Source organism: Homo sapiens, chromosome 3 (genome assembly GCF_000001405.40).
Source record: "Homo sapiens chromosome 3, GRCh38.p14 Primary Assembly".
NCBI classification, from domain to species: Eukaryota; Metazoa; Chordata; class Mammalia; order Primates; family Hominidae; genus Homo; species Homo sapiens.
Genome location: NC_000003.12, coordinates 128,093,164 through 128,114,639, shown reverse-complemented (window position 1 = coordinate 128,114,639; position 21,476 = coordinate 128,093,164). Strand labels below are relative to the sequence as shown.

The window sequence follows — 21,476 nt, the reverse complement described above, 5'->3', positions numbered from 1 at the left end:
CACTGTGGCGTGTCTGCCTTGAGCCCCAGGTGCTCGGCCTTGCTGAAGGTCACCATGAGACTGCAGGCCAAACAGAACCAGGCTGTGAGCAACGAGTTTGCCACTTGTGATCTAGCATGGCACTTTAGTACTTTCATTTGACAGATGAGGAAATCGGGCACCTGAGATTTGCTGAGTGCCCAAGGTCACACTGAAAATTAGTGGCAGAACCAGCACTAATCTTTCTGTTCCTGGCTAGTGCATTTTATACTGTGCTATACACTGATTCTCTACCAGATTTTACTACCTCAAAACTATCACCAAAAGGGCATAGAAAAGAAAATCTGAGAGGAACCTTGACTGTTAATTTTAAGACACCGTCTCAGTTTCACTTTGTTCTTCAGTAACAAGCTTGTTTTCAGTCTTAGCCCATATACCTGGGGAGCTGGCCTTACTCGTGCTCCTGTTTCAGAGTTGAGGAAAGATGAAAATGGCATTTAGAGGCCATGGCATTGCCCAGTTCTGTACCAACTTTAAAGCATTTGCTTGCCATACTTGACATTTGACCGTACACCTGTGAAGTCTGGTTCTGTTTAGCATTTGCCAGCTGTAATTATCTTGTCAAAAATCAATTTGTAGTTTACCACAGGGCGTGTTTAAGTGTAACTTGTTAAGACCAACTCATAGCTTCAAAATCCTACTTGAGGTATCCTTCTTCACTCTTTGTGGGCTACATAACATAAAATGAACAATCCATTCATTCATTCCTTCATTATTTCTGATGGGTTGTAGATTGGTGTTTTCCTGTATTTGTAAAAAGAGAAAGCAGGTATCTCAAAGATCCAGTGGTGTATTCGGAGCAATTAGGTCAGAGCCATATATTGATATTGAGAGAACAATTTTGGATGACTGTAAAGTTGGCCCTTCCTATCTGTGGGTTCCACGTATGTGGATTCTGCCAACCACAAATCAAAAATACTCAGGAAAAAAACAATAAAAAATAAAAATACAATAACAAAAATAATACATACTTAAAAATACAATATAATAACTATTTACATAGCATTTATATTAGGTATTGTATGTAATCTAGAGATGATTTAAAGTAACAGGAGGATGTGCATAGGTTATATGCAAATACCCTGCCATTTTATACCAGGACTTGAACATCCATGGATTTTGGTATCCCTGTGGATACTGAAGAGTAGACTCTTCTAATTATGATAACATGATCTTTGGAGTCCTGCTGCCAGAGATTAAATCTGCGCTGCCATTTTCTAGATTATGGTACTTACGTTGCATTACTTAATGTCTCTCAGTTTCTCATGTGTAAAATGGGGAGAATACTAGTGTCTATTTCATAGGCTGGTTGTGAGGATCATGTGAGGCATTTGGAGTTGGGCCTGCACTGGGTAAGTCTGAGTGAATGATAACTTGTAATTATAGGGAAGATAAGAGATGCCATTTATGATTTAAATTGACTGTCCACAAAAGTCATCAAACATTTATTGTGTGAAACATGCTAAATGGTAGGACTAGATGTTCAGCTGTTCCTAGTTCCTGGTGGTTCTGTAGCATGTGTTTCTGAACTGTCATGTTTTCAGGACTGTGAACTGTGTTTCCGTTGCTTTCTTTTGTAGACAGCTCTGGCTCTGGCTATTGCTCAGGAGCTGGGTAGTAAGGTCCCCTTCTGCCCAATGGTGGGGAGTGAAGTTTACTCAACTGAGATCAAGAAGACAGAGGTGCTGATGGAGAACTTCCGCAGGGCCATTGGTAAGTAGTGTCACATTTGTGGGAGGAGTTGGTCTCACTTCCTGAAGCCTGTGCACCGAAGCCTCTTTGTGGTGAAGATGCCTTTATGACTGGTATTCGTGGCACTGCTGTTTTTCTTTTGGCACTTAGTAGTGCATTATTTTTCAAATAAAACAAAACCCCAGTTTTTCTCATTGAAGTGCGTTAGCAATTGGAGCAACTATGGACCCTAGCTGTGAGCCTGCGCTTCTTCATGCAATAAATAGATGTGTCTAAAAGTGTTTTTTTAATGAGTCATATTTTCCTGGAAGTCTTATTTTGCCATTAGAGATGACTATCCACTGAAAAGGTTTTGGACTCAAGCCAGAATCTTTGTGTGCCATGTGGCCAGAATGCCCCTGGTCCTGGATGGCGAGCCAGAAGAGTTGTGGCCTGTCATAGAGTGAGGAGACTGAGGAGTGGGGACTGGCAGAGCTTAGAGGCTTATGGCGCCTAACCCTTAGGGCCTCAGGCTATCATAGTGAGTGCCTGTGATGAGCCAGGCCTTCCCTCCTCTGAGGGGAGATTATCAATCTACATTTCGCATTTGAAGAAGCAGTCTCAGAAGGTTAAATAACTTGCTAGGGACCCAGTTAGTAAGTGGCAGAAGTAGTTTGATCCGACATCTTTCTCATTTCTAGAGCCGTTGCTGTGAAGATTGGCTGTGAGAAGAAAATGGCTTCTCTTTCGAATTTTTGCTTTTTGCTAGCTAGGACTTCTGGGGCAGTTTTTTGGCCCCATTTCTGCTGGCACAGCACTGGGCAAGTCCTAGTTTCCCTCAGATCTGCTTATAGAAATAGCTTATTTCTTTTAACTGTTACATAAAAGTCCAGTTATTAAGCCATTTCTGTTTTTTGAACATTTAGATTTATTCTCAGCTTTTACTCTTAAAAACAAGGCTACTAGGAATATCCTTTTATGTGTCTTTGTGCACATGTGCGAGTATGTTTCTAGGATTTGCCTGCTGAGTCGTGGGTTATGAACACTAGTCAGAGTGCCTGTACCAGTTTCCAGGCTCTTTCATTGTCAAACCAAAGTAAGTATTCTTAAGAAGGAAATTTACCAGAAAACTTCAAGGAAATGATGAAACTTAAAAGACTGATGAAAAAGTTCAGTTTCGGAGTAAGATCAGGTAGGGCCATGGTTAAAGCTTTTGATTTTACATTGAACAAAAGGAGAAGCAGTTAGAAAGTGCTGGTATCCCTGGGCTCTGGTTTTGCTTTTACCAGACCCCTCCGGCTGGGTTGGGAGTGGATAGTAAGGAGGGTGAGGGCAGAGAGGAGTCTGAGCAGGACAAAATAGTGGCTTGGACCAGGGTGGTGGCAGTGGAAGTGCAAAGTGGTTGGATTCTGGGTGTGTTTGCATGGTAGCGCTGACAGGATTTCCTAAAGGGTTAGATGTGGGGCTGAAAGAAAGAGAGGAGTCGAGGAAAATTCCCAGGTTTGGCCATTTTTGGAGATGGGGAAGAATGGGAGGGAGCAGGTTGGGTGTTTACTCAGCGTCTCCTGGGGATACAGTGGTCAGTGCTTATCTTTGTAGACACAGTTCCTGGCACATAGTGGGTGCTCAGGAAAGTTCTTCTGAGTGAGTGAGAGAAGTGGGTAGACTTTGAAGCAGTTAGAAAACAGAAGCCTTTTTTTTTTTTTTTTTGAGAGAGAGTCTCTGTCGCCAGGCTGGAGTGCAGTGGCGTGATCTCAGCTCACTGCAACCTCAGCCTCCTGGGTTCAAGCGATTCTCGTGCCTCAGCCTCCTGAATAGCTGGAATTACAGGCATGCATCACCACACCCAGCTAATTTTTGTATTTTTAGTAGAGATGGGGTTTCACCATGTTGGCCAGGATGGTCTTGATTTCCTGACCTCATGATTCACCTGCCTCGGCCTCCCAGAGTGCTGGGGTTACAGGCATGAGCCACCGTGCCTGGCTCATGCCTGTAATCCCAGAAGTCTTTAGCTAAAAAATATGAAAACAGAAGTCTTTAGCTAAAAAATATGTCTGGGCTATAGACATATGTTGTTTGGTTTATGAAGTATTTTTTATAAATTTGGAGCTAGTTGTCAATATTTAGCAATAGGGAAGTGTCATAAAGTGCTCATTTCTGCCTCCTTGAAGCAGCTTTCCTTCCCACAGCAGGCGGAGCTGAGCGGGTACTTCTGACCAGGTCCCCATAAGCATTGAAGTTTGTGACTGTTTTTCTAAACCAGAGAGATTATGAACTGTGTCCAGAGGCTAAATTTTGTGTTACTTGGAATATATTTATTTTTATTTTATAATTTTAACACTTCCTCAGTGCCACGATTTGAATATTTTTAAAACTGCAAAGTATTTCTGACTGGAAATATATTATTTTTACCATGAAATATTGGATTTTTTGGTGCTTATTTTAATTATTTTATTTTGTTTTAGTGCCATGGTCTCACTCTGTTGCCCAGGCTGGCCTTTAACTCCTGGGCTCAAGTGATTCTTCCACCTCAGCCTCCCAAGTAGCTGGGGCTATAGGTGCACACCATCATGCCTGGGTTTGGTGCCTATTTTATTTAAGTTATCTATTTTTAAAACATTTTTCTCTTTTTAAATTTTTTTTAGAGACAGGGTCTTACTCTGTTGTCCAGGCTAAAGTGCAGTGGTGTAACAATAGCTCGCTGCAGGCTCAACTCCTTGGGCTCAAGAGATCCTCCTGCCCCAGCCTCCCAAGTAGCTAGGACTGCAGGTGTGCATCACCACACCCAGCTAATTTTTTAAAAACTGTATGTAGGCCGAGTGCGGTGGCTCATGCCTGTAATCCCAGCACTTTGGGAGGCCGAGGCCGGTGGATCACCTGAGGTCAGGAGTTCGAGACCAGGCTGGCCAACATGGTGAAACCCCGTCTCTACTAAAAATACAAAAAATTAGCGGGGCATGGTGGCATACGCCTGTAATCCCAGCTACTTGGGAGGCTGAGGCAGGAGAATTGCTTGAACCCGGGAGGTGGAGGTTACAGTGAGTGGCGATTATGCCATTGCACTTCAGCCTGGGTAACAGAGAGACTCTGTCTCAAAAAAAAAAAAAAAAAAAAAAAAAATTTACAGAGAGGCCAGGCCTGATGGCTCATGGTGGTGCCTGTAATCTCAGCACTTTAGGAGGCAAAGGCAGGCAGATTGTTTGAGCCCAGGAGTTCGAGACCAGCCTGGGGAACATGGTGAAACTGTGTCTCTACAAAAAATACAAAAATTAGCTGGGTGTGGTGACGTGTGCCTGTAGTCCCAGCTACTCGGAAGGCTGGGGTGGGAGGATCACCTGAGTAAGTCGAGGCTGCAGTGAGCTGAAATCACACCACTGCACTTCAACACAGGCAACAGTGAGACCCTGTCTCAAAAACAAAATCGGGAGGCTGAGACATGAGAATCGCTTGAGCCCAGGAGTTGGTGGTTGTAGTGAGGTGACATTGCGCCACTGCATTCCAGCTTGGGCTACAGAGTGAGACACCATCTCAAAAAAAAAATTGTTTTTGTAGAGATGGGGTCTCACTATGTTGCCCAGGTGGTCTCGAACTCCTGGCCTCAAGTAATCCTTTTGCCTTGGCCCCACAGAGTGCTGAGATTATAGGAGTGAGCCACTACACCCATCCCAGTGCCAGTTTTAAACAGAGGTATTACAAACTTATAGAGAAGGATGTAAAACATTAATTAATTATGAAGTAAAGGCTTATACCGTCACCACCGAAGGAACAGAGCACGGCCAGCACCTCAGACATGTGTCCCTCCCTGGTCACAACCCCTTCCTCTCCTAGGTGGGACCCACAATGTGCCATAATTGTGTGGGAATGGTTTATGTGATCATCATAACCTTGTACACCCCATGTGTGTATCTTTAAACCATGGGGCTTAATTTTGCCCTTTTTAAAGTTTATCTAAATCATACTTTATGTGTTCCTTGTGTCTTGCTTCTTTAGCTCAGCGTCTATATCTGTAAGGTTCAGCCCATGTGATTACATGCAGTGTACTTTGTGGATTTTTACGTTGTATTTGGAATAGCAGTGGAAATGACTCGCAGGACTCCTTTAAGGTTTAAAATCTTCTGAGTATTTTTTTTTTAAACATGTGCCCATGGTTTTATTTAACTCATAATAAAGATGAGATGAACAGTAAGATGTTACAACTAGTTCAAATGTCTGAGTACTTTTTTTTTTTTTAATTGAGACAAGGTGTCACACTGTCGCCCATGCTGGAGTACGTGGCATGATCTTGGCTCACTGCAATCTGTTTCCTGGGCTGAAATGATCTACCTACCTTGGCCTGCCAAAGTCCTGGGATTACAGGCGTGAACCACCGTGTCTGGTCCCTGAGTATTTTTTTTAAATGTTCTATTTACTTAAAAAATGTTTTTCTGATATTGATAAAATCTGTGAAAACTGGCTTTCACATGGATGTATGTGTTTGCATTGCTTAAAGGTAACTTGAATGCTTTAAAATTCAGAAAAATAGAGATAAGTTCCTTGGCATCTGTTTTGTAATTTGCCATTTTTGAGGGGAGGGGACAGTAGTACCATTCTTTTGATGGCAGCGAGGTGAAAAGAAAATTTCTTGATCCTACCAGAGAATAAAAAGGCAGGCCATTGACTATCTTCAAAAAGGAACCCTGCCCATCTTCCTCTGCCTTTGAATTCTGTGAAGTTGGGAGAGGGGGTGGGGAGGAAGCAATAAGCCGACCAGAAATAAAAAGCAGGGAGTCTGTGCTATTTCCTTGATGTGATGAAGGTCCCTGTCAGGGATATAGAAACCTGAGCCAGCAGATGAAACCTGTGTCATTTGTGTTGTCGTTGCCAGAGATAGCGCCAGCTCAGCCCCTTTCCTGGCTAACAGCCGGTTTCATTGTCCGTCACCCACGTCCCCTGCCAGCTTGTCAGCACAGAGCAACTTCTAAACAAATGTGGGGGCTAGTGAGAGACGGGAATGTCTTTCTTCCCCTCCTTGAGGAATTTCATGCCACATTCATCTAGCAGTAAATATAAGTAAGCATTCCATTTGAAGGAATTTATCGCTGTGGGATATAAAAGGTTTGATTTTAAAAAATCAAAGTTCACTTTAAAAGTACAGGATTTTCCCAGTTTACCACAGTGTTCTGATATATTCGTGTTGTTTGGAGAATTTTTGTCTAAGATTAATGTTCAGGAACTAAGAATTTGGTAAAGCACAAATGAAATGGGTCCTCTCTTTTGGGGCTATTCCAAAACTTCCATTTATAGGCTATCAGATAGAATGAAGGTAGAGTAAAACTTTTCCTTAACTTTAATATCTGAGAGTCTTTGTCCTGACTGGGTTTCTGGGGTAGAGAAGGCAAACAGCCCAATGATAAGATAATGACCACATTTAAAAGTGAGAAGTTACAGAGCGTACCTGACACTATAGGTAGTGTTTCTTAGTGCCATTGGAATATTTCCATATCAGAACGGAGGTAGCTTAATGGTGAGAACACCAAATCCTTATCAAGCCACCCTGCCATCAGAACTAGTTTATGTCTCCACATTTGTGAGTTGAATAGTTTTTCATTTATTCTTTAGATAACTGGATCTCAACTGTGTCTGCACTTTGGAATCATGGGGGGAATATTAAACTAATAGTGATGGCAGGGGCCCATCCCCTAGGATTTGGAAGCAAGTAGTCTGGGTACAGCCAGGGCGTGATTCATTATAGGGGCCCCTCAGGTGGACCTAAAGGTTGAGAACCATGACCATAGGCTCCAGCGGAGATTTAGAGCAGTATTTCGTAAACTTAGGCCATCAGTGGTCTTACTTCACCGGGTCCCACTGGTATTATTTACTTAAAATTTTTTTTTAAAGTAGACTTGGTAATTTTATGCATATGTACAGAAAAGTGTGCAGAACATAAATGCATAGCTTGGTGGATTATTGTAAAGTAAAAACCCGTGAAACCAGCAGCTAATCAAAAAAGGGAATGTTGCCAGAACTCCAAGGTACCCTTGATGTCCACTCCCAGTTGCCATCCTTCCTTCCCCAAGTTAATGGTAGTCTTGATTTCTAACAGTACAGTTCAGTTATGCCTGGCTTTTAGTGCTGAGGTTGAGGGTGTTTCGGTGATACAGGCTATAACATTACATGGCTGACTCCTTAGAGTTCTCAGGCCATTACCATATAGAACATGTAAATGTATCTGCAGGTTCGTTTCTTGGGTATTATTAGTAGATGATGTGCCTAATGACAACCCCTTCACTCTTAGTGACTTCATTCATTCATCCATTCACTCTACCTGCCTATGTGCTGTGCCCTCAGCTCAGGTGTGGGCAATCTGCAGAGGGGTAGGCAAGGTCTGCAAGTTATGGCATTGCCGTGGGCTGCTGCTGTGCCAGTGGAAACACAGGTCACCATGGGGACAATTTGGAGGATGAGGAAGAAGAATGTGTGAAGGGGGGGGGGATACGTTTTAAACTGAGTCTGCTAGGAGGAGTTGCCTAAGCTAAAAAGAGTGGTTCAGGAAGCAGAACCGTTATATGCAAAAGCATGTAATGAACATAGAGATCACGTTCTAAAAGTTAATTTAACAATGATTCTTGGATAATGAACAAACGTTTATTAAAGAGCTAATGTGGATGATGTTTAGAATTCAGAGAGAAATTTACCTTTATTTGCAATATTCTAATGTAAGGTGCTTTGGAAATTGGTTTTGTTGTTATGGCCTTAGAAAAACTGTAGAGCAGCTGGGAATGGTAGCTCACACCTGTAATCCCAGCACTTTGGGAGGCCAAGGTGGGTGGATCACCTGAGGTCAGGAGTTCAAGACCAGTCTGGCCAACATGGTGAAACCTATCTCTACTAAAAGTACAAAAAAACCCCAAAAATTAGCCAGATGTGGTGGTGCACGCCTGTAATCCCAGCTACTTGGGAGGCTGAGGCAGGAGAATCACTTGAACCTGGGAGGCGGAGCTTGCTGTGAGCCAAGTTCGCACCATTGCATTCCAGCCTGGGTGACAGAATGAGATTCTATCTCAAAAAAAAAAAAAAAAAAAAAAGAAAAAGGGAAAGAAAGAAAGAAAGAAAATTGTAGAGCAACACATTGCAAATAATGCATGACAACTGGGTATTTCTTCTTGGAGTATGCAGTGAGAGCCAGAGGCCCATAACACCTGGCAGTTTTGAGTGTCACCCACTGTTGACATAGATACCTAATTATTTTAGTATGTTCTGCTCAGGTTTCATAGTGTCAGAGGGTGTGTAATGAGTTATTCCACTGGTTTTAAGATTTCCTTTGAGAGTCAGAAATTCAGGAAACAAGGCTACAGGAGTTTTGATAGCCACTGTTCTGGTGGAATAGAATAGTGTGGGTTCAGAGACTGGATTAAAGGCTAAAGGTAAATTTCACCCCCTTGGAAATGAAGCAGACAATTTTAAGAATTATAACTTGTCTATCTAGTTCTGGATTTGAACCTAGAAAGTTCCCTTAAAAAGTTGCATTTCTAGGCCGGGTGTGGTGGCTCACACCTATAACCCAGCACTTTGGGAGGCCGAGGAGGGTAGATCATGAGGTCAGGAGATCAAGACCATCCTGGCTAACATGGTGAAACCCTGTCCCTACCAAAAATACAAAAAAATTAGCCGGGCGTGGTGGCGGGCGCCTGTAGTCCCAGCTACTCGGGAGGCTGGAGGCTGAGGCAGGAGAATGGAGTGAACCGGGGAGGCAGAGGTTGCAGTGAGTCGAGATCGTGCCACTGCACTCCAGCCTGGGCAACAGAGCGAGACTCTATCTCAAAAAAAAAAAAAAAAAAAGTTGCATTTCTAATAGTGCCTCTAATTTACATTGATATGTTTGTATTGCCTTTTTACCCATCATGACACCCTGGAATGTACATTATTAAGGTTGATTTGGCAGTTCTGGTGACATGGAAGTTTTGGGCTCTCAGTGTGAGAGAAAAGATTCTGCTTCTCACCATGGCCCCTCTGCCACCTCTTCCAGGGCTGCGAATAAAGGAGACCAAGGAAGTTTATGAAGGTGAAGTCACAGAGCTAACTCCGTGTGAGACAGAGAATCCCATGGGAGGATATGGCAAAACCATTAGCCATGTGATCATAGGACTCAAAACAGCCAAAGGAACCAAACAGTTGAAAGTGAGTACATGTATGTGGCCTCTTTTCCCTTGACTCTCCCAGCACTGTGTGGCTTTGGGCAGGTGGTGTAACCTCTCTGCATCCCAGTTTCCTGACCTGTGCACTGCAGGTATTGATTTCTCACAGAATTGGTTGAGGATATTGTGTGTATAAAGCGGTACCTAGCATAGGGCTTGCACATAGGAGGACTCAAGGAAGATAGCTCTTTTCTTACTTACTCCTAGGAAACTCTGCATGTTAAAATGTGAGCTGTGTGGTTAAGTCAAGAAACTGCCTCTGCCATCCCATGTCCCATATTATGACCATGCATCAAATACCCTGGGCTGGGTCTGAACCTGGGCATTAATTTTTCCAGTTATCAGTGCCCATGCTCATAGAAAGAAACAGCATTGAGTAATCAAATAAGAGTTGTATAAAGATGATGGATGGGCTTCCCAGGGGCCACATGCAGAATCCTGACTGCAGTTGCTTGTGTCAGGAACCTGTGGTCGCTTCAGTGGCTGGTTCTGTTTAGTACAGGGCTTTGTGGAGAGGCCAGAATGGTGACACTGGATAGCGCTCAAAGACAGTCCTCAGCCACCTGTCCTGTAAGTCTTTAGGATGGAGGCAGTAGAGTTTCTAGGGGAAGAGCATGAGTTTTGGAGTCTAAGTCCTTAAGGAATCCCTGGCTTTGTTACTTACAACTGTGTGGCATTAATCTCTGAGTAGTAGTTTCTTTATTTGTTGAATGGGAATAATAATTGCCTGTCTTTCAGGGTTATGGCTTTGGGTGTGGCACCTAGTTACCTAATGAATGATAGCTGTTAATGTTATCGTGAGAGCCTTCACTTGGAGAAATGGAGCAGTCTGGATTTTAGGCTTTGCCTTATTATTATTAATAAATATTATCATTATAGCTCTCATTTATTGTATGTGTCAGGCCTTGGACTAAGTGCTTCAACAAACATTTATTGTCATTCATAACTTTATATGTGTATATGTTTGCGTGTGTGTATGTGTGTATAGTTTTCCTCATGTTAACAGATGAAGGCTCATAAAGAGGTTACATGGTTATCCTGGGATCATCCAGCCAGTCATGTGGCAGAGCTGACCCTCTGAGTCCTAACCGTTGTACTGTCTGCCCACCAGCTTGCTGTGTGACCTTTGGAAGTCAGTTGAGCTCTCTGGGACTCAGTTTTCTCATCTATAAACTGCAGGAGATTGACCATATAATTTCTCCATTTTTATTCTGTTCTACGATTTTATGGTTCTTTGATTCTCTGAGGTTGTTTCTTGGTCACTGCTTTATGGAGATCATAAAAATGTCACTTCTTCAAAGGGCCATTTTTCTTTTTCCTAACAGGGTTTCCATCTCAGGAACTTGCCTCTGCAAATATCTCTTTTATACCTACCCCTCGTCACTTCCATTCTGAATTAATTAGATTTCTCAGTAGCATCTGCCACCTTTCCAGTAATTACATCTTCAGTCAATTCATTTGGGAAATTAACCGATATAAAAATGCTTGAGGCAAAAAAGAAGTATATTCTCCAATGTAGGACAGATAAAATAAGGCGTACAGTTTAAATTTCAGCTATTTGTAACACTGCTTTGTACAGTTTCTTTACAAAAATAATGTAGAGGAGAAGATGAAATTTTTCTTCCAAAATGAATACTTTTAGGTATTTTTAGAATATGTACAAGATATTTGGATAGAAGGTGCTCAAATACTTGGTGGATATTCAAGTCTGAAGGAGTCTTCTGAGTTCTAGCAACGAGAATGCCATTAGTACTCATGACCCCTTCCTGCCAGGCCTTACCTGGGGGCCTCACCCACTTTTGTCCTTAGGCGCACAGACTCACAGCAGTTCTGCCAGGGTCTGCCGTCCCCACCCAGCTAAGGAGAGGCAGAACCCTGGGTTTGCTGCTGTGGTGGTAGTTTTTTAAAAGCTTTATTCAGATAGCATTTTAAATAAAACTCACCCATTTTAAGTATACAATTCCAGGAATTTTAATTTATTTTCACAGTTGTACAATCACCACAATCTTAATTTCAGAACATTTTCATCGCCCCAAAAAGAATCCTCCTACTCATTTACAGTCATTCCCCATTCCAACTATAGCCCTCGGCAACTACTAATCTACTTTCGGTTGCCTTCTTTTGGACATTTCATATAAATGGAACATACAGTGTATGTCTTTTTTTGTATCTGGCTTCTTTCACCAAGTCCTGGGTTTTCACTTTTTAATTTTGTTTGGGCAAAGCCCAAGTTTTTTTTCCACCATAGCTACATTGTATAACATAGATCTCCATGAAGACCTCGAGAAACTTGTGTTTAACTATAGAATCCTTACAAAGGCAGCTGTCCTAGAATATTAATCACTGAGGGTCACCAGAATCTGGAGAAAAGCAACAGTTCCGCAAATCTGCTTATTTCCTTTCCTGGAGATATAAGCAGGCAGACCCAAGGGCACAAACACTGGGATGTGAGTCAAAAGGCTTGGGAAAGATTCTCATTTATGTTTTTCTTTGAATTACTGTATACATCTGTGATTGCACCTGGGTGCTGTTGTATAGATGAGGAAACTTAGAACTGAGAACCTTATCCAAAATCAAAGGCCCTGCAAGATGCCAGCTTTGAGATTGGTAAGCAGGTGCTGGCAGGTACTTCAGTTGTGGAAAGTTCCACCCCACCTGAGGTGAGGCAAATGAAGGAGTGAAGTAGGGATGATGATTTCAAGAGGGGTGATAGGGCCTGTGGTCCTGTGGACAGTGGGGGCTGGGCCCACCCGTCTCACGGCAGCCAGGACCATCCTTATAAAAGCGCTGCTGCCAGTTTACAGCCTTTGGAATCAAGGGAAAGAGGAGAGTACGTGTCCCCTGTGTCCCTCTCATGCTCGTTACATAGGGATGCAGGTATGCTGGCCCCCCTATTTTCTCCCTGGTGTGCTTAGTCCCCCAGCCAGTCTGTTGTGTGGTACTTATGCATTCACACTCCTGCAGGTCCCAGTATTCATGCAAACGCAAAACAGGCTTTCTCCATGCACCTGCTAGCTACCTCAGATCCCTTACGGAAAGGTACCTTACATGGTGTCAGAAGGAAATGGAATATGTATTACACTTCTGATTTACATTTTTTTTTTTAGCTGGACCCCAGCATTTTTGAAAGTTTGCAGAAAGAGCGAGTAGAAGCTGGAGATGTGATTTACATTGAAGCCAACAGTGGGGCCGTGAAGGTAATGCCTTCCTTGGGACACAGCATTGTCCCTGATTTGTTTGCCATGAGAAGACCTAAGTGACAAGGGAGTTGCTTTCTTCAGAGGGTGTGGGGTGTGTGGGGAGGGGCTGGTGTCTGTTATGAGGCTGATGGAAGGTCAACTAGTGGCCCTTTATGTATAATAAAGTTTGCCTTCCCTTTATCTTCATTCTTTAACCTTCTCGCGATTAAAACAGATAGTCTGTTAGAAAAAATACTAAAACCTGTTCAGAGGGGGAGGACAGGGTGAGAAACCAAAACAACTTTAGTCACTTTCAAATTGAAATGTGCAGTGTATTTAATCTTCCTTTTATCTCTTTGGTATTTTCTTCCCAAGATATATGCATGTGGGAAGGAACGCTGCATTCGTTGGCATTCTTTTCTATCTGATTTTCAGGGTCCTGTACAGTGTTCCTCACTGTTTAATGGATGGGCATAATACTTCATATCATACAATAAATCATCCACCTACAAAAGAGTCTGAGCAGCTCCTCTGCCTCCAGTTAATCTACTGGATTTGGCCTTTATCAGGAATTGCATACAGTTAAAAGAAAGAAGGGAAAAAGGATTTTGGGAGAAAGTATCAGGTGTTTTTCAACCCAGTTTTTGGAGCCCAGCGATGAGCAGATAGCTCCCTTCTCTTGGCAGCAGGGGAGTGGGGCATATTTGGAGTTTGTCAAGTAGGCTGTCAGGCCTGCAGTGGGAACTGAGACCTTTATCTCACTTAGCCCTGTGCCATTTGGGGACTTGGCAGTGAAAACTTACCAGGCACTCATGTTTCTCTCTTTTTGCAGAGGCAGGGCAGGTGTGATACCTATGCCACAGAATTCGACCTTGAAGCTGAAGAGTATGTCCCCTTGCCAAAAGGGGATGTGCACAAAAAGAAAGAAATCATCCAAGATGTGACCTTGCATGACTTGGATGTGGCTAATGCGCGGCCCCAGGTACTGCCTCGATGCCTGGGTGATCTGGCACATTAGCCCTTTTGTATGTGTGTGGAGATCTGGGAATGAATTGTCAGAGTCTTGCTGCCTTTCTTGAGGTAGACGGTCCTTTTCTATCTGTAATGTTCAGCAATTAACATCGACATGAGCTACGAGGGACTCCTTTGTTCCCATTCAAATGCTCTAGTCACAGATGATTTCATGTGTATTGTTTCTTATCCCAGCCAAGCCTCTGGCCCTGAGCTAGCCAGCTTCCTCCATGGCTTCACTCCAGCAGTGGGCTCACACCTGGGATTTTCTGGGTGTTAATGGCAGGAGGGCAGGAGTGTTCTATGAGCCCTTTACAGGATTTCAGAAAGCCTAACAAAGCTCTTTCTTTCCCCCTGCTTAGCAAAAGCCACAGTGTTTTAGCTTTGAGCTGGTACTGTTGTCTGCTTCTCATACAGATGGATACTTATGCCTTGGCTAGTAAAGTGCAGGAAAGGATGTTATCACTATATGACATTTCTAGGAAATAGTGAATAGTCACTATTAGGGAATAGTTTGTTTTCTGACTTGAAATTTGATCCGTGGGTGTTTTGTTCCTTGGAGCTTTGGTCAAGAGATTACTGAAGACTCATCTTGGACCAACAGGTCCCCTTGGTTGGTGAAATGGCCATCCCCAAACTGACCTCCTGGGAGCCCTTGACCTGAGAAGAGTGCTGGGCTGGGAGTCAGAAGTCAGGAACTGTGTTGCTCCATCACTGACCAGCTTGGTTAATTTGTCACTTTGGGTCTCTGGGTTTTCTGTGGTTTGGGGTTCGGTTTTGAGTTCCCTCCTACTTGGCAAGGCAGTTTTGAGGACCAGACAGGAAACATTTGCTGCCTTTAGCTATTCAGCATTTAGTGAGCCCTTCTGTGTCTCAGGGCCTGGTAACCAACAGGTGATCACTAAATGCTGAATAAATGACCAAACACCAGCCTCTTCCTCTTGCTGACTGCACTGTTAGGAGCCCGCAGGAGGATGCAGGTGAGTGGTGAACCTGTTATGGAGTCAGCCATGATCAGCTCCAAGTTAAGTAAGGACTAGGCTGATGCAAGCCTGTGGTCAAATCTAGTGAGAGGAGGCACAGCAATATAATCATGGTATATTTATACTTGCTCTTTATACTTACTCTTATAGTCCATGTGTCCCCAAAGGCACAGGAACATTTGGAGGAAGTCCTGAGTCCGGTTAGGGTCAGATGCGCCCTAGAGGGCATTTGACGTGAACTTTAATGACTGGGAACTTCTAGGAAGGAGAATGGCATTCCTGGCAGATGGAATAGACTCAAAAGCATTGAGTCATAAAAAAGCTTGGGGGTGTCCAGGGCAGGGCTGGTAGTCTTGTGTGGCTAATCAAGGAACAAGGGGTTGGAAAAAGATAGGGCTGGAAAAGGAGGCTGGGCAGGCCCCACGGAGCTTATACTTGCCATGAAAGGATTTTGTTTGATTCTTACAGGTTAGGGGAACCTCTAAAAATTCCTCTGTGTTTAGAAGCTCCTCAGGCTTTGAGGAGGGGTCTCCATACCTCAGGATCCCATGTTGAGTTGATGAGTGGGATGCAGGGGGATGAGGCTTCTGTAGTCACCTTAGAAAGCAGCACTGACTCTAAGTCTTCTCTTATGCAGGGGGGACAAGATATCCTGTCCATGATGGGCCAGCTAATGAAGCCAAAGAAGACAGAAATCACAGGTAGGAGAACCAGTGTGCCCTGTGAGCAAGGGGCAGGGCGGAGGGCCCCACATTCTGAGATGCTCTTGCGGCTCTGTGAGCACAGTCGCCCTGAGGAAATGCCTCAGAACAGTTCTTTCTTCCTCATAGCTTAGAGCTTGACTCTAGCCTAAGTTTCTGGCGGCATTTAGGCAGCCATATAGCACACTGTGTGCTATCTGCCCCACTGCAGTCACAGTTTCTGGCCCCTATGAGGCCCCAGAAATAGGGATTTGTGTCGCCCAGCTCTGCTGGAGCACAGGCTCTGGAGCCTTGGGGCTGTCAGCCCCCTCCCTAGTAGAGCACAGGGCAGCTCCACAGACCAGCTCCACATACTGCCCTGCCCAGTTTGTGGGCACTTCCCAGAGCTCCACAGGGGACACTGCTGCTGCTCCCCTGTGAACCTTTATTTAACCTGCTGCTCTTCCCAGCTTTCCTGTTGCTGTTTTTTTTCTAATTCCACCTACAGTTTCGTCACCTTAAGATGTTAGTTAAACATTAAAGCAAATATTGTCTTTAAAGTTTAAGCCAGGGCAGCAATCTGAGACCTTTCTGTTCGAGTTGTCAGAAGCAGTTTCTTTCTTTTCACACGGTTTTCGGTGTGCATCCTCTTTGGACAATCCCCGCCTCTTGCCTTTGGTGGAAGACGCTGCCTCAGATCTTCCAGTTTTCTATTTGTGAGCTGCTCCCTCCTGATGATAACACAGGAGCTGGTTTGGAAAATGAGCACTGAGACCTTAGCTGGGTTATGTAACTTTTGAGAGACTCATCCCTCTAGGAGCTCTGAGATTGGGCCTTTCTTCAGAGCCTTTCATTCCTCAAAGGTTTCTGCTCAGGATTCTAAAAGCACCCACTTCCTTAGTCCAGGCACTTGATTGAAAGTTAATTAACCTAAGCATTGTTGTATGGGACCAAAAGAAAGGGTCATTTACTGAGTATAGAACAGGTAAATTTGCATGTGAAAACTCATTTCACCCAGGGCTCCCAAACTCCAATGTCTCCCAGATCAGACAGAGCTAGATTGGGTATGTGGGAAGTGATAAGGCATGGTAGGGAGTGTGACAGCAGTGAGCGTGTGCTGTGAAGGGATTCCCATGCAGAACACCTGTGCAACCTTTTTACATTTAACCAAACTCATCTTTTGGGGGAGGCTGCCAATTTTGTGACCTTTTAGGTGTGATTATCACTGTGTTCAGATGACGACACTGAAACCTGGAGTGGGGACACACCCTGTCTGGGATCACATAGCTAGTAGGAAAACTAGGCTCCTAGCATGGGTTTGGATTGAATTCAGGTGGAGGAGAAAAGGCGATAGTCTCCCCCAGCCCTGTGCTGACCTTGCCTGCCCATCCTTGCATCTCCTAGACAAACTTCGAGGGGAGATTAATAAGGTGGTGAACAAGTACATCGACCAGGGCATTGCTGAGCTGGTCCCGGGTGTGCTGTTTGTTGATGAGGTCCACATGCTGGACATTGAGTGCTTCACCTACCTGCACCGCGCCCTGGAGTCTTCTATCGCTCCCATCGTCATCTTTGCATCCAACCGAGGCAACTGTGTCATCAGGTAGGATGGCTGCCTGCCAGCCACAAGGCTTTTTTAACTTCCATCTGGGCTCATTTGTTCCTCAGGATCTCTCCAAACCCCATGAGGTGGGACAGGGATGAGGGGAGGTCATGTTGTTTTTGAGGGAAAATGTGCCAAGTGGCTTGCCTCTGGCCTCATTTCCCTAGTCACCAAAGGCAGCAGCTGTCCTGTCACTCATGAGGAGGGTCTCCCACGTGATCTTTTGGGTGTGATACTACAATTTGGTCGTTCAATTGGAGTGTACAAAGGTGAGATCAGACAGGGCTAGCCTTTGATGACATTATACACATGAACGTCTTCAGTCTTCATCTGCGCTCTGAGAGGTAGGCATTATTGGCGTCATTTTTCAAATAAGGAAACTGGAATCATAACTTGTCCCTCATCGTAAAGACAGGATAAGAACCCAGCTCCTTCTGATAACAAAACCAGCATTTTCTTTCTTTTTTTTTTTGGGGACAGAGTCTCACTGTGTCGCCCAGGCTGGAGTGCAGTGGCGCGATCTCGGCTCACTGCAAGCTCCACCTCCCGGGTTCACACCATTCTCCTGCCTCAGCCTCCCGAGTAGCTGGGACTACAGTTGCCCACCACCACGCCTGGCTAATTTTTTTGTATTTTTAGTAGAGACAGGGTTTCACCGTGTTAGCCAAGATGGTCTTGATCTCCTGACCTCGTGATCTGCCCGCCTCAGCCTCCCAAAGTGCTGGGATTACAGGCATGAACCACCACGCCCGGCCCCAGCATTTTCTTTCTATCCCAGACCTCTGAACCACACTGGTGTCTTTCCATCCTCCCGCTCCACTCTTTCCCATCCCTTTGGCCTGCCTTTGGGAAGGGCAGATGTTGACCCCTGGAAGACAAGTGTTCATACGGTGCTCATCCTGCCAAGATTGGCCCAAAGCTGGGCCAGGAACTTTCCTGCGGTTGCTTTTTCTCCTAAGCACTCTCCACGCTCGTGGTCCTGGAGAACACCCCATCTTCCCATCTCTCAAGCCCAGTGTCAGTATTCCCAGTACCTGGTAGTTTTATTGCTCTTTTGGTTTTCTGTGATCTTGTTTAAACATTAGTGCCTGGTCTCTGCAGTGCTGGGGGCACAAAGGTGGGTGATGAGGGGCCTGTTTTCAAGCCTGCAATAGAGTAGTGTGGGGACAAAGTCCCTGAGGCTGCATGCTCAGGGCAGTGGAGGCAGTGGGAGTTAGAAAGACACCCTGTGGCCCATGAGTATCTCAGGACACAGCTGGAGCCAAACTGAGTTTGAAATAAAAACTGCTGATTTGCCTAACTCAGCTCTGAATGATGGTGGGCCCTATCTAAGATTTTAGTTTGCTTTTAATAGAGAAGCTTTATTATTAAGACTGTCCAAGCTGGGCACAGTGGTATGCACCTGTAGTGTACTCTCTGGGAGGCTGAGGCGGGAAGATTGCTTGAGGCTAGGAGTTTAAGGTTGTAGTGTGCAATGATTGCACCTGTGAATAGCTATCGCACTCCCACCTGGACAACAGTGAGACCTCATCTCTAAAAATAATTAAAAAAAAACAAAACATGCAAACTCTGGTGTTGCTGGCTCTGGGTAAGCCCCACAATGGGGGTTCTGTAGTGCTGTGAGCACTGCAGTATAGCAACAGCCCTTCCCCCTCAGGCGGTTTCTTTCACTTGCAATTAGGAATCGAATGCGTGATTCAAGTCCATGTGGCAGCATCTTGTAGCTACTCTGAATCCCCGTCCGTGATGCTCTCTAGACAAGACCACTGTCATAAGTGCTTCCTAAGTCTTGGAGAGAAAGTGTGTGCCAGATCCAGCATGGCTACTTGGGCAGCTTCTGGAGACAGATGCATGTGGGCCTTATGGCTGGTATGCCTGGCATGCCTGTGGCTGTCTGGACTTGCTTAGCCTTGGCTAGGCCAGGCTGAAGCCTGACAGTGCAGTTGGTGAAAGGGCTCAGCCTTGGACAGATGGTGCCCCCTGCTGGGGAGCTCTGCTAATAGGCTTCCCTCCCTCCACAGTAGGGAACCCAGCCCAGCCCATACCTGCAGAGCCTGGCATCTCTCGTCTCAGAAGTAAGGTCTCTCAGTCCCATCCCACTCAGGACTAAGGTGCACAGAAAGGTGGCCTTGATCTCAGAACCTGCTCAGTGGAGACAAAGCTCTGGTCAGCCTGAGACCCGGGAGATTTGGCCCCAGCCCCATCTGGGCTGATTTGATCAAGGGCTGCTAGAGGTTGTGGAGACTCCTTGCTAGACTGTAGTTACTCAAGTGGAAGGAAGACACTCAGAACATGGATTTTTAGGCAGGTCGGCTCAGGTAACGCAGATTCGGTTGTTTGCTTTGGAAGAGAATTTTGGCACTATGTTCTAGTAGGAAATTTGTTGTAGTGGTGATAATAATGTCAACATGGTAATGAAAAAAGTAATAGCCAACAATAATAGCCATCTGATATGCTTCCCACAGACTCCACCCCTAGAGGGGAACTACAGGGCTTCCTTACCCCCCAGAACCACATCTGATCTCTAGAGCTCCGAAGGAAAGAGAGGGGGAAGGGAGGTGACTAACTGAGGGCTTCCTGTGTGTCAGAAACTATACAGAGCACTCTACATGGGCCATCTCATGTCCTCCCAGGACACCCTGACAACCCTGTGAGCAGTTGAGGTTATCTCCAGACTCAAATGGGAGGTTACCTGCCCAGGCCATAGGCTAGAAAGTGTTGCCACTGGAACCTGAGCCCAGAGGAACGTCTGGGTCCAAACTCCATGCTCTCACTGCTCTCCCACACCGCTTCCCAGTGGACCCTGGGCTGTGAGCGGGGATGGAGCTTTGACGGGGTGCTGCCTGGAGGTGGCAGTGGGGAACTGTTGGATGCTGACAACAGATTGCCGTGAAAATGCAGCCTCCTAGGAGTGTTCTTTCCCAGGTAGTGTACGCTCCCTCTCGGCTTCTTGCCGCTCACCCCTCCCTGTGTAAATGACCCTTGTGGATTGAGCCTCAGAAGTGAGCCCACTCTCTGATGGCCATTGTGTTTTATGGAGCATGCATTTCAGCACAAGCCTGGTTCCCACATGGAAAAATTACAGGCATTGGAGTCACGTGGAAGCTCATGACCCAGGCGAGTTCCTTGACCTCTCTGAATCTTACCATCCTCATCAGGAAATGGGAATATCAGCACCTTTTTTGCAGAATTATGTGAAGAGTAGAAAAAGTGAGTGCAAAGTTATCACCCAGGCCAGCCCTAGAGTATTGCCCTCTTGGAAGCTGATTTCATGCCCCTGCCTGGTCTGCTCTGTGGACATGGCTTGGCCTCAGGGATCTCTGAGAACCCAGCAAGGCATGAAGCCTCTTCATAGCCCCTCCTGACCTTGACAAGCAGCCCCCAAGTCCTTTAGGTCACCTCTCCCTGTGGACAGCTGATGTGGGAGCCGTTCTAGAAGAAGCACCTGTCCCTGGTCCTCTTGATGCTCCAGGCTCCTTCTGGGAAGGGTCCATCCATGGATGACAGGGAGGCAAAGCTCTGTTGCCTTCTTGCCTGGCTCCTCCCTAACTTGCCACCATAAGAAGTCCCTTTCCTTCCAGGCTCAGGATCCTGAACTGTTAGATGAGAGCCCAGCACTGATCCCAGCTTGAAAACTGGGAGATTTTCTCTTCATATTGAGGTATAGCTCCCTGGGATTAGGAGTTCTTGTAGGAGTTTCTCACTGAAAGTCACTTTGTTGCACCAAAACATCAAGACTTAAGAAACAGTATGGACTCTGCTCAGTGTAACCCTGTGGCAGATAGTGTTCCAACAAAAAAAAAAACCAACTTTATGGAGACATAATTCATATAAAATACAGTTTTTTTTTGTGATTTCTAGTGTATTCACAGAGTTGTGCAACCATCACCACGGTCAATTTTAGAACATTTTCATCACCCCAAAAAGAAACTATACCCATCAATAGTCATCGTCCCCTTCTGCACCCTTACCCCCATCCACTGGCAACCATTAATCAATTTTGTCTCTATAGATTTGCTTTTTCTGGAAATTTTGTATAAATAGCACCATATAATCTGGTCTTTTGTGACTGGCTTCTTTCACTTAGCATGATGCTGTAGCATGCGTAGTACTTATTTCTTTTTCCAGCTGAATAG

The 21,476-nt window shown here is 45.0% G+C and overlaps 1 protein-coding gene across 7 annotated transcripts in view, besides 1 other annotated feature; it reads left to right on the top strand.

Annotated features, from left to right (window-relative positions):
- RUVBL1 (RuvB like AAA ATPase 1) overlaps positions 1 to 21,476 on the top strand; it is an 89,130-nt gene that overhangs the window by 39,275 nt on the left and 28,379 nt on the right. For all 7 annotated transcript variants that reach the window (NM_001319086.1, XM_017007357.3, XM_011513249.4 and 4 more), the window contains exons 3-8: positions 1,620 to 1,752; positions 9,716 to 9,867; positions 12,992 to 13,081; positions 13,896 to 14,045; positions 15,695 to 15,758; positions 17,142 to 17,340. In NM_001319086.1, coding sequence (NP_001306015.1) covers positions 1,620 to 1,752; positions 9,716 to 9,867; positions 12,992 to 13,081; positions 13,896 to 14,045; positions 15,695 to 15,758; positions 17,142 to 17,340 — 788 coding nt within the window. The remainder of the gene's footprint in view (positions 1 to 1,619; positions 1,753 to 9,715; positions 9,868 to 12,991; positions 13,082 to 13,895; positions 14,046 to 15,694; positions 15,759 to 17,141; positions 17,341 to 21,476) is intronic.
- Positions 13,909 to 14,428: an enhancer, noted in NCBI's record as "NANOG hESC enhancer chr3:127819055-127819574 (GRCh37/hg19 assembly coordinates)". NCBI's record gives its function as "activates a minimal SCP1, AML or CMV promoter by ChIP-STARR-seq in naive H9 embryonic stem cells {active_cell/tissue: H9 hESC(naive)}" and the evidence as "EXISTENCE:reporter gene assay evidence [ECO:0000049][PMID:30033119]".